The sequence below is a fragment of the Homo sapiens genome, chromosome 2 (assembly GCF_000001405.40).
Source record: "Homo sapiens chromosome 2, GRCh38.p14 Primary Assembly".
NCBI classification, from domain to species: domain Eukaryota; kingdom Metazoa; phylum Chordata; class Mammalia; order Primates; family Hominidae; genus Homo; species Homo sapiens.
This window is the reverse complement of record NC_000002.12, coordinates 73,821,314-73,833,637: the sequence shown is the minus strand read 5'-3', so window position 1 is coordinate 73,833,637 and position 12,324 is coordinate 73,821,314. Positions and strand designations below refer to the sequence as shown.

Below are 12,324 nucleotides of genomic sequence, written 5' to 3'. Positions count from 1 at the left end.
GATTCCATGATTCTACTGAACTTTCTGAATTAGTGTTTCTCCAAAGGAATTGTGCCCCTGGGTTTCATTCTGAGAGAACAATCTACAAGCTTATAGGAAATACATAAGAATATTCTTTCTACCAAGAATATATAAAGAAGACAGGGTCAAAAAAACTGTGCAGGAAAATAAATAGTGTGCCTAGGAATGAAAAACTCATAACAGCAAACAGAAGCAGAAATATAATTATAATTTTATGAAACCTTAACAACATTGAGGCCACATGACATGACATAATGGCATTAAAGAACTACAGATCTTTAAGGAAACAGGTGTTAAGTTAAAGCTGCCTCCAAAGATAGTGAACTGTAACCTAATTTAATGTATAAACAAACTGTAACTTAACATAAGAGTTAGGTTACAAGTGTAACAAATAGCTGAGTCTCAGCCAATCATAGCAGCTGAAACCTCCAGCCAATTGGAGGCTAAAGCCTGCCAAAACATGACCAAATAAGGCAAACACATAACTGTAGCCAATCAGGCTATTTCTGTATCTCATTTCCTTTTCTCTGACTATAAATATAGCCTGCACAACCTCCACTATGGGGTGGAACATTCTGCACCACTTTTGGTCCTGAGTGTTCCCTGAACCTTTTTCTACTGGATTAAACTCTGTTAAATTTAACTTGTCTAAGGTTTTCTCCTCTTAACACAGGCAACACTTCTAAATAAAAAAGACAATAGCAGTCCCATTTCTCCACTCTACAATTACAATATGAATCCTAGACAGTCCATTCTTCCGCATACTTTCCTTTGGAGCACTGGTTCTCAGAGGTGATTCTGCCCCTGGGAGAACATCAGATAATGTCTGGTGACATTTTTGGTTGTCACACTGCGGGGAGGGGGGATACTGGCATCTGGTGAGCAGAAACCAGGGATGCTGCTAAACATTCTGTGACACACAGGACAGCTCCCACCACAAATAATGATTCAGTCCAAAAGGTCAATAGGGCCAAAGTTGAAAAGCCCTGCTTTAGAGGAGTATGTGATCAAAAACTTAATGTGATAAAACTGGTATGTGTATATCATCTCTTGGAAGATATCTAAGAAACTACTAAGAGTGGTTGTCTCTGGGGAGAAGCACTGAGGGTTTGGGGGGAAAAGAGGAGTGGGTGGGGAGACTTTTTTTTTTTTTTTTGAAACAGTCTCGCTTTGCCACCTAGTCTGGAGTCCTGGAGTGCAGTGGCACGATCTCGGCTCACTACAACCTCTGCCTCCTGGTTTCAAGCGATTCTCCTGCCTTAGCCTCCCAAGTAGCTGGGATTACAGGCACACGCCACCATGCCCGACTAATTTTTGTATTTTTAGTAGAGATGGGGTTTTGCCATGTTGGCCAAGCTGGTCTTGAACTCTTGACCTCAGGTGATCCGCCTGCCCTGGCCTCCCAAAGTGCTGGGATTACAGGCGAGAGCCACTGCGCCTGGCCAAGACTTACTTTTTAACTATAGTTATTCTTTTGTGCCTCTGAATTGTGCACCATATATATGTGTATATATATATATATATATATATATGTTACCTACTCAAAAATCAGTAGTAAAATAAATAACAAAAAAATAGCCAGTGTGGCTCATGACTATGATCTCAAAAGACTACCTCTGACTCTAGAACATTACTAAATGGAAAACAAGAAGAACAGGACCTATGTTGTAGAACAAATCCTGAATTAGGAGTCAGAAAACCAAGGTTTTGTCACTTCAAACATGAGCATCCACCAAACACTGAGTTTGTTTCCTCATATGTAGAATGTAGGGTAGTGTACCCTATTCCATGCACACAGAACTGTGAAGATCAAATGAAATTATGCAGGTGAAACACACTATGAGCTACTCAGAACCAAATACATTATAATTATTTTTTAAAAAGTCCTGATATTGTGAAAGAACAAGATTAGAAATGATAAATAAGACCTTTAACATTATTTCCTTTCTAAATTATGTATCATTGTCAATGGAGTTTTAGAAGTTGTTTGCTGTTAATAGTACTGAAATCTTCTACTTATGCTGCCTACCCTAAGATGATAAATAACTTAAGGGAAAGGTCTTATTATGATGAGCCACACAAACTGTAGGCAGTTACTAATTATTTGATGATTTGCATGATTATGATAAAGGTTAAGAGGAAAAAATTTTTTCCTGTATCACTAAATTTGCTACAAAATAAGTACAAGTGAGGAATTTTGGCTCTGCTAGACCCCAACAATAATCCTATGATTGGCTGCTTTAGTAGAAAGAGAACAGTAAAAGCATTCATCAGAACATAATATGTCTAGTTTAACCACCAACTCTTTTGTCTAACAGCTGGGCTATGTGGGCATAGGCCAAAGAACTAAATCTCTTACTCATAAATTACTGAGTCATGAAAATAACACCTTCAGCACTCATGTCTTTGAACGGCAAGGACAGCCAATATGTAGGAGTTGCCAGCAAAAATGATTAATGTTGATGATATTGTGAAGTTCTGTGGTTTTAGCAATTCTGAGCCAAATAGGCGAGGCACCAGTCACCAGAAAGGAAAAAGGAAACTGTAGGTGTCTTACGTGATATACTTGTTATAGAGGATGAAGGCATGTTCAATGTTGCCTTCCTCAGAGTAAATGGATGCCATTCGGATAATCTCAACTCCAGAGCGGAAGTACCGACGGGGTGGAATGTCTTCATTCACCTCTACCGCACTACCCAGCTGGGAGAGAGCCCTCACCCGGTCTTCGGGCGGGAGGCTCACATCTCCATGGTCAGACATCAGGACCAAGTTCTGAGACAGAAAAAACAGATGGCATCAATACCGTTGCCCTCATCATCCCAGCAGTTTTACAGTTTATCTCACAGACCTCTACCTTAAGAAGAAAATATAAGAGAAACATACCAAATGCTGTGGCTCCTATTAAATAAGGACTTTCCTACAAGAAGGCTGAGACCCTCAAGGAAGCCCAAATCACAACGATGAGAGTACTGGCAGACTAGAAAACATACAACCCCTGTACCATAATTAGGTGGTATAAGGAGTAGAACCACAGTGGACCAACCAAAGGTTCAGTTCAAGTTAATCAAATCCTTTGCCATTAGGGGGCTCCGCCCACAGCACTGTAAAAGTGGGAACAGCATCTTTTATTTTCTATTATTTCTCCTTCCAGATACCCACATACCTCCACCCCAGTACCTGGCAGAGTGCACTCAGTGAACTTTCTTGAGGATTGTTAACTAACTTCAAGGTTGACCATTTTTACTTAATCTGAGAGTAACTGACATTTTCTGTGGTATCCTTTTTCATATTTGAGCACAAGGTGAGTTAGGGGAACTGGTCTGGGAATTAATGCTCATAATTGTAACTCTGCTCACTAAACCACTATAGTCAATCTATAAAATCATTCATTCATCATTATCATGGCAAGAGACTTAAATCTTGAAAACAACCATTTACTCATCTTCATAGACTAAACACTGAATAACAAAAAGGCACGATGGTAACTTGCATTGCAAAAACCCCTGGTGTCCCAAAACTCCAGTAATTCTAGTCTTTCTAGATATAGTTGCTGTTAGAATCAGATTCCAAATTCCAACCAGATATCACCACTATCATCTCCAAAATAAAACTGGGCATTTGACACACATTGCATTACAGCAAACCCTAATCAGTATGCTCTAGAATACACAAACTACAGTAGAATAAATCTTGGAATTCAAGGCCCTGTGGCAACTGGCCCTCCCCAACAGAGATCTTTTGCTTCAGTCAGGATTCCAATCCGCCCAGGCATCCTCACATTTCAGTTTCATTTATCTATCCAGTTTTTCTTTTCTACTACAACTCTTCCCTCAGGGGTAGTCTTCTCTCAGCCAATTCCATCTTTAGGTCTCTTCAATATTCGGGTCACAATTCCTCCACAAACCTTCCCCTCTAAAACACCCTCACTAATAGCACAAAAGCCGTGAGGACTACTAGGGATGCAGAGATAGTCCATCTCTCACGAGGCCTCCTTAGGGACTCAGAAAGCCGCAAGCATATCTAAAACCTCCCCAAGTAATTAGTAAACCTAGTCCACGGCCCATGAAAGTTAACTGAAACAGAGGATGCTTGTTGCATCTCAGTACCTCTTGGGAGAGGTTCTTGTGGGTTAAGAAAGGAACCACCTCCCAAGGCCAGGAAGCGGCGCCGGTTACCACCTGGTTGAGCAATTCCAAAAAGGGGATGCAGCATCTGCAAATGAGGGGGAAAGGCGGCGTAAAGGACCGAGGGGGAAATACGAGGAGGAGAAAGGAAGTAGCAGGAATGAGCGGAGGGGGCGTATACAGTAGGGAGGGCTCTATCGACAACTGCTTGAGGAACCCTTCTTGAAGGCACTCAAGACGAACTTGCCAACCCCAGGCACAATCATCCAGGGTTTTCGGGATCTTTCAAATGCAGTAGGCGGGGAACCGCTGGGCCTGGCTGGTCAGGCGCCAGCCCGCGGAGACAGAAGCCGTCGGGTGCCTCGAGCGAGGCAGGCCGGGCAGGGGACTCGGGGAGAGTAGGCTGCAGGCCCCACACTCACGGCGGCCGATCCCCTTCAAAGTCCAACCACGCTCGGAGGCCCTGCCCCACCACGTTCCCGGGACCCTTCCCCACCTTTCCCCGCGGATGACACCCGGAGGTTCCGGAAACGTCACATCCGGCGCCCGCTCCGCCCACTCCCGTTCGTCTGTCTATTACATTCCCAGTGATTTAGGACTTGGAACGGAGAGCTAGTAGGTGGGGCTAGAATCGGCACCTGCGGAAAATCCGACCAATGAGGAGCGAACGACACAGCGGCCATCTTGGTAAAGGAAAAGGAACAAGGAAGAAAGTGGAACCAATTAGCAAGCTAAGGTTTGCTTTTAAAATTATTTTGATTTGGGGTAGTCCCTCATCACACTCACAATACTCCTGCATTTAAGGAGGGATTGCTGATCCCAGCACAACTGCAGACTTAGCTAAACTAACCAGGATTTATAAATTGGGGGACAGAAAGTCTTTCGAATGTATTTTTTAGCTTGTATTACATTCTACACAAAAATTGGTAGTCTTAGATATTAGGCAATATCTAAGACTAATTTTATTGCTTAGAAAAGAACATAAGTCTAACTTTTTTTTTTTTTAAGACAGGGTCTTGCGGTGTCACCCAGGCTGTCACAGGAGTGCAGTGGTGTGATCATAGCTCACTGTGGTCTCCAACTTCAGGGCTCAAGCGATCTTCTTGCCTCTGCCTCCCAAAGTACTGGGATTACTGGCGTGTGCCACCGCACCCAGATGAGACTAACGTTTTAATGTCAAAAAACCTATAAAATATTTGGAAAAAAAGCGTTTAATCTCTAAGAGCCGCTATGCAAAAGCAGTGGAGACACAAAAATCTGTATGACACTGTTCCTGCCCTGAGACCGGGACAAGGTGGTTTTATGCATCAAATACAGAATGGCACGTTCTGCATGTAGATGTGTGTCTGTACGAATCCATATACATCCTCTTTACAAAAAGGTCCTACAAGCTTGCTAATCATTCTGTCTCAGAAGACTTTGTGAAACATTAGGCTTTGGTTTAAAAGTCTAAGTCTCTGGGGGACACTTTCCCAAAATTTGGGAGCCTCCCTGTGAGTTTGTTAGTGTGATGGCATGACCTATTCTTCAAGGTCTAGCTTAAATCCCTAATTCAGGTGTTGCCTCCTCCACCTAGCCAGCCTCCAGATCTCTCATTTCTCCCAACCTCCGTTGTGTATATTTCTGTTGGAGTTACCTGAAGTGATTTTGTGTAGTCATCAACTTTTCAGACTTAGGGTTGAAAGTACTTGCTTGCATCATATCACCTCCCCTTCTGCCCCCAGCAAGCATTAATGTGCATGGGTCTACTATCAACTCTCATGGATCTACTGCAGATAAATCTGGGAAGATAATTGTATAGGGCACTCTACTGTGTCTTCAAAACTCTCTCTACTGACTCTCTTCAGAATGTAAACATGATGGGTTGGGCCTAAAGAAATTGATGCACTGGAGATGCTGGTCATTGGGTGGGCATTATAGTGCAGATGGGGTCCTGGCAGGAGGCAACACAGGTCAAAATCTGATCCATTCAACCTCTCACTCAGTAAATGTTTACTGAGTGTCTACTATGTGCCAGGTTCTGTTCTAGGTGTTAGGGATACATCAGCAAACAAACCCAGCAGGTGGATACTCTAATGGTGGAAGCACAGGTAGAAGTACAGCTGGTGGGGTAGGGAGGGGCATCTGCTCCCATTCAGCACAATCTCTAAAGTAGTTCTTTTTTTTATAATGTTTAGCTTAACAAGTAAAGAAAATTTACAAACATCCTAGATTTTAAGATTATGATGAGAAGACTTTAAGAAGCTATAACTGAGACACACATATAAGGGGTGTGCATAGTCGTAAACATAGCTAGCGCCACATAGAGGCTGTTCCTGATATTAGAAAGTTAATATGCCCAGTTGCTAGCAGTTCTTAAGGTAATAGCTAAGTGAATATAGGAAGCAGGATCTAGTCTTTTTAGGGAGAGAATTTGTAAATGTTGACCAGAGTTTTTGATATCTGGGGCAAAGTTCAATACTCAGCTTTCTAGGGACCTGAAATAAGAAAATCTTGGCCAAGGTAAAAATTTTACATTCCTCATTTCTTGTTTAACTGGAAAAGTTTAAAAACTAAACAATTTTGTATACACAATCAGGAAATCAAAGCTATAAAAGATTCTTGGCATAACTGATGAGAATATCCTACCTACCCCTGCCCTAAAGATTGGAGGCTAAGCGTGGAAGGTATTCCTTCAGCAAATAGGCTTCAGCAGTTCACCTGGCAGACTAGACCAGGTTAGGAATTGAGATGCTCTTTCCTTCCGGTGCTCACTCCCAGCCATGAACACTTTTCCTGAATATAGCAGCCTCCATCTGGCCGCTTGCATATGCCAACGTCAGGTCTCCTGCACTCCTGCATGCTCATTCCTACTTGCTCATTTTTGGGCAGCAGCAAAAGATGCCTAGAAGGTGAAGTTCTTAATCTGAAATGTAACATCGGGGTTTAGAAAACACAGGCCTGGACCAGGTGCGCTGGCTCACGCCTGTAATCCCAGCACTTTGGAAGGCTGAGACAGGAGGATCGCTTGAGCCCAGGAGTTCGAGGATATAGTGAGCTATGATTACACCACTGCTCTCCAGCCTGGGCAACAGAGTGAGACCTCTAAAAAAACAAAACAAAACAAAACAAACAAAAAACCCAGGAGGATCACTTGAGCCCAGGAGTTTAAGGCTGTGGTGTGCTATGATCTCACCTGTGAATAGCCACTGCATTCCAGCCTGGGCAACATAGTGAGACTCCTATTGCTAAAAAGCAAAAAGAAGAAAAGGAAAAATACAGACCCAGCGGAGTTCGGGGGTCAGGGAGGGTAAAAACAAGGAAGACTCTAGGTGTATTTCACTTGCAAGGTTGGTACTCTTGTGTTAAGTGACATACCTAGAGGGACAATTGCATTAGTACAGGAAGGGCGTTCATTCTTACCTACTACAATGCATTCTTACAACAGCAGCTAATTTTTTTTTTTTTTGAGATGAAGTCTTGCTCTGTCACCCAGGCTGGAGTGCAGTGGCACAATCTCGGCTGCAACCTCCACCTCCCAGGTTCAAGCAATTCTCCCTGCCTCAACCTCCTGAGTAGCTGGGATTATAGGTGCTCGCCACCAAACTTGGCTAATTTTTGTATTTTTTAGTAGAGACAGGGTTTTGCCATGTTGGCCACGCTGGTCTTGAACTCCTGACCTCAAGTGATCCACCCACCTCAGCCTCCCAAAGTGCTGGGATTACAGGTGTGAGCCATCACGCCTGGCCACTAATGATCTTTTTAAAGCAAAAATCAGATTCCATCACTCCTCGGCTTAAAACTCTTCAGTGAATTCCCATGGCACTTGGAATAAACATCCACACTCCTTACTGGGGATTACAGAGTGACTCGGCCCCTGTTGCCTTTCTGACTTCATCTCCCAATCTCCTTGCTTAATACTCTCCACCGACACCATCCAAACATCTGCTTTTCCACTCAAGACCTTTGCATAGCTGACTCCTTTTCCTGGGATGCTTTTACCCTCATCTTCACTTGGCTGGCTCTGCCTCATCATTCATTTCTCAGTTTACATGTTACCTCCTCAAGGAGAACTTCTCTGACCACCCATTCTAAGGAGCCACCCAGTCATCCTTCATTAGTTGGTCTTATTTTAATTGTCTTGATAATCCTTACCACTGTCTGATATGATTTGGGTTGCTTATTGTCTTTCATTCCCCACTAGAATATAATTTCCAGAAAGTTAAGATCCTTTTCTGCCTTGCTCACAGCTCTATCCCCACTGCCTAGAATGGCTTGCGAAACCAGATGTGACACTCAATGAACATTGTTGAATGTTCAAATGTTGTTGAGATAAATATTGTCTCACTGTCCCCAAAATGATTTACAGGAATGTAATTAGCCAATTATGCTGATTACTGAGATGAACAATGAAAAACAATGACCGTTATGCTTTTGGGACCCACTCTTCTCTGCAAGGCACTTAGAGCTAGAAGCAGAAAGCCTAAAGGCTAGATGCCTTTATTAATTGAGCAAGTGTTTATTGAATATCTTTCAAGCTCATGGGTCTGTGTCTGGCATGGGTCTACCACAGTGAAAAAGAAAAACTGGGCGGGGCATGGTGGCTCATGCCTATAATCCCAGCACTTTGGGAGGCTGAGGTGGGCAGATCACAAGGTCAGGAGATCAAGACCACCCTGGCTAACATAGTGAAAACCTGTCTCTACTAAAAATACAAAATTAGCTGGGCGTGGTAGTGGGTACCTCTAGTCCCAGCTGCTCAGGAGGCTGAGGCAGGAGAATCACTTGAACCCAGGAGGCAGAGGTTGCAGTGAGCTGAGATCGTGCCATTGCATTCCAGCCTGGGCGACAAAGTGAGACTCCATCTCAAAAAAAAAAGAAAAGAAAAGAAAAGAAAAAAGAAAAACTGAGTTCCAGTTGTTTTAAGTCTTCCGTGGATGAAGGTTTAGAGCCATTAGAAGGAAAAAATTCTTTAAAAGATGAGCAATATTCTCAAGGGGAGGCTAGGTGAGCTCCATGCATTGAGACACTAAAACAGCCTATCTTGAACATTGCTTGGGAATGGAGGGGCTATGAAAGCAGAAATGGAGTGTGTACTAAAAACAAATTGTTCACATTGTTAAAATTTTTGCTATGAGTCCATTGGGAATATAAAATGACAAATAGGTTTGAAAAGTACTTGGGAAGAAAAAGATATAGAATGAGCTGATTCAAATAAAGGGAAATGTAGCAAATGCACTGGGATCTTTTAAGTTTGTGCATTATGAATGCATGCATATATGTTCCTTTTCAGCTGGAGTTGGAATTACCCAGTGAAGTTGTTCTTAAGAAGGCTACTGTAAAACCAGTAACATGAAGGTGAATCTGTGGTTTGGAGCTCCCCCTACAGTTTGTTTGAAGACTGGTCTCTCTCATCTCCAAGAAAAATGACCACTTTGGAAAATGAGTTCTTACGCATGCTTGGAAATATTTTTAATGTGTATATATTGTTTAAATTTATGTTTAAATGTGTACATGAGGAATCCGTTTTATGTTAGACATATTTTTTTCGTTTGTTACCTGCTTGCTAGCTGTGGACTGTATAATTTATTTTCCAATAAGTCAAAGTCTTTGTTTTAGGTCAGAGTGCCATTTTCAAGGTTGCGAATTTCAACAAGAGTTAAATGACACGTGAAACTTTATGGCTATTTGAGAATTGGACATTTTGAATGAGAGATTTTATCATTTTATATTTTGTTTACGTATTTCTTTTCAAATATAGGGCCTGAATTATGACCAAGCACTATAACTTTTAATGAGGGATAAAGAATTGCATGCCACTATGTGTGTACTCTGAAAAATACTCATTTAGTTAGTCATTTGACAAATACTGATTATCATCTATGTGCCCGACACTGTTTAAGGCATTAGGCACATATCAATGAACAAAGCAGACAAAAATTTCCCTGCCCTTGGGGATCTTGTAGTTTAGTGATGGATGGAGGAGTAGTGGATTATAAAAATTATCATGATAAAGAAGTCAATTACATAGTGTATTAAAAGGTTCAAAGTACTGTGAAAGCAATGGGCCCTGGCACAGGAAATCAGATTGAAGGAAGGGAGAAGCAGTGAGGCAACTGCAATTCCAAATAGTGTGGTCAAGGAAACTCCCATTGAAAAGATTTGAGAAAAGACTTGGAGGTAAGAAGAGCTTTCCAGGCAGGGAATAGCAAGTACAGAGGCCTTCAATCAGGAGCTTGCTGGTGCATTCAAGGCACAGTAAAGGGGCTCAGCGTGCCTGGAGTGGAGTGAAGGGGAGTGTAGCTGTAAATCATATAGGGCAAGAGTCAGCAAACCAGTGCAGCCTGTTTTTGTAAATAAAGTTTTATTGGAACATGGCCATGCTCATTTGTTTATGTATTTTCTGTGGCTGCTTTCATGCTACAACCAGAAAGTGGAGTTGTTGAGACGGAGATGATCTATCCCACAAAGACTAACATATTTAACTGTCTGAGTCTTTATAGAAAATATTTTCTGACCCCTGCTGTAGGTAAGATTTCACAGGCCACTGTAACAATGTTGACTTTGACTCTGAGAGAAATGAGAAGCTATGGGAAGGACTGAACAAAAGAGTGATCTGATTTGTGTTTTGTGATTTGTGTTTTGAAAGGATCATTATGGCTGCCATGTTGACAAATTTTAGGGAAAAGGCTGGGAACAGGAAAACCAATTAGGACTGTGGTTCAAAAGGTGTACCAGCCAGGCACAGTGGCTCATGCCTACAATCCCAGTGCTTTGGGAGGCTGAGGTGGAAGGATCTCTAGAGGCCAGAGTCTGAGATTGCAGCAGTGAGCTATGATCACACCACTACACTCTAGCCTGGGTGACAGAGTGAGACCCTGTCTTAAAAAAAAAAAAAGTGCACCAATGTGCTCCCAAGACACTACAGCAGATTCATCTGGGTGCAGCTGGGTATTTTAAATTCGTGAAGGATTCATAGCAATACCCAACATCTGTTAGATATTGCATGAGCTTCTAGCTAGTAGGTATAGTTCACAGTTTCAACATCAGGTCATGCCACATTACTTTCAATGATACTGTATCTTTGTGAAGCTGGGTTTTTGGCAAGTGCCCTATGCAAATCAGTGTGGAACAGGAAGTGATGCTGGTAATATCCAACTTGATTCTAAGGTTTGAGATGTACAGTACCCAACTGGCATACATATCCCATTAGCAAGTGATTGTGGCTAAGAGTAAGGTTTTCTTCTAACTTAATTATATTATTTTTCAGATGGCACCTTACTTGTTACAATACTCTAATGAGCATTGTATTAGTTTCTAGTCGCTGCTCTAACAAATCACTACAAATGACTTCAAAGGTTTCTGCCCCAAGCAACTGAAAAATGGCATTACCATGAACTGAGATAAAGAAAACTGTGTATGAACCAGGTTTTTTTTTTTGTGGGGGTAGGAGGGCAGATGAGAGATTCAATTTTATACACGTTTAGGAAAGAAGATACAAAGAGAAGGAAACGATGCACATTCTGACCAGGGCCTTTCTCCAGATTGTCCACCCATGAGCCCTTTAGGCTGTTGTGTTTTGACTTCTCACTCAAAACATGGACTGAGCAAGTACAGAGTTGCCATGTTAGAGAGAGGAGACTCAGCAAGCCTTGTCTGACTCAGAGTCTTAACTAGTTTGGGGCAAATGGAGCTCTGTTTAAGGGAACAGAGAACTACAGGGTTCCCATGTTTAAAATAATTATGTCAAAAGATTGAGCAGGATTTTAGAAAGATGGAGGCAGCAGTGTAGTTTTGAATCTCCTCAAATCCTCTCATGGAAATAGATCAAACCAAACAAAAAACCCATAAGTAGCCTTTATCACAAAACTAGAGGACGGTTTTCCCTATGAACCCCAAAACAAGAGGGTGGGGCAAACCATCACCAATGGGCACCAGACTTGCCTGGTATGGCACCCACACAAGAGGGAGTGGTAGACAGTATGCCTTCAAACTGCCAGCAGAGAAGTTCACTGGAAAGTACCATGGGCCAATGTGAGAACAGCAGCTGAAACTGAGGGGTTTTGCCCAGTCACAAAGTGAGTAAGTACAAGGGACCTGTGATAGACTCTGAAGCACTGAAGCAGTCTAGTCCCTTCCCACTCTTGAGCCCGAGCAGCCAGAGCTCCTTTCCAGGATGTGGCCCTGGAAACACAGAGGA

General features: G+C 42.4%; 1 protein-coding gene and 1 long non-coding RNA gene across 29 annotated transcripts in view, besides 3 other annotated features; one reads left to right on the top strand and one right to left on the bottom strand.

Moving 5' to 3' along the window:
- STAMBP (STAM binding protein) overlaps positions 1 to 4,677 on the bottom strand; it is a 44,696-nt gene extending 40,019 nt beyond the window's left edge. For 8 of the 28 annotated variants that reach the window (NR_148670.2, XM_047442961.1, XM_047442970.1 and 5 more), the window contains exons 1-3: positions 4,568 to 4,677; positions 4,128 to 4,233; positions 2,579 to 2,793 (exon numbers count right to left, since the gene is read on the bottom strand). Coding sequence is in view for 17 of the 28 variants with exons in the window: in XM_047442961.1 (XP_047298917.1) it covers positions 2,579 to 2,781 (203 nt within the window). In the remaining 11 variants the exon portion in view is untranslated. Of the gene's footprint in view, positions 1 to 2,578; positions 2,794 to 4,127 lie in introns of all 28 variants that reach the window. The other 20 variants (NR_148668.2, NR_148669.2, XM_047442962.1 and 17 more) reach the window with 5 other exon arrangements.
- Positions 376 to 465: an enhancer, noted in NCBI's record as "active region_16035". NCBI's record gives its function as "activates an Ori minimal core promoter by ATAC-STARR-seq in GM12878 lymphoblastoid cells {active_cell/tissue: GM12878}" and the evidence as "EXISTENCE:reporter gene assay evidence [ECO:0000049][PMID:35858748]".
- Positions 1,981 to 3,180: an enhancer, noted in NCBI's record as "CDK7 strongly-dependent group 2 enhancer chr2:74057585-74058784 (GRCh37/hg19 assembly coordinates)". NCBI's record gives its function as "activates an origin of replication core promoter dependent on BRD2, BRD4, P300/CBP, MED14 and CDK7 cofactors, with strong dependence on CDK7, by STARR-seq in HCT116 cells {active_cell/tissue: HCT116}" and the evidence as "EXISTENCE:reporter gene assay evidence [ECO:0000049][PMID:35650434]".
- LOC105374807 (uncharacterized) lies at positions 3,240 to 10,501 on the top strand. Its single transcript, XR_940246.3, has 3 exons — positions 3,240 to 3,322; positions 4,734 to 4,881; positions 9,418 to 10,501. It is a non-coding gene; the product is annotated as an uncharacterized LOC105374807 (long non-coding RNA).
- Positions 4,688 to 4,906: a silencer, noted in NCBI's record as "fragment chr2:74055859-74056077 (GRCh37/hg19 assembly coordinates)". NCBI's record gives its function as "represses an EF-1alpha promoter that drives an FKBP-Casp9 reporter gene in an ReSE screen in HepG2 liver carcinoma cells {active_cell/tissue: HepG2}" and the evidence as "EXISTENCE:reporter gene assay evidence [ECO:0000049][PMID:32094911]".
- Positions 10,502 to 12,324: the final 1,823 nt, after the last annotated feature.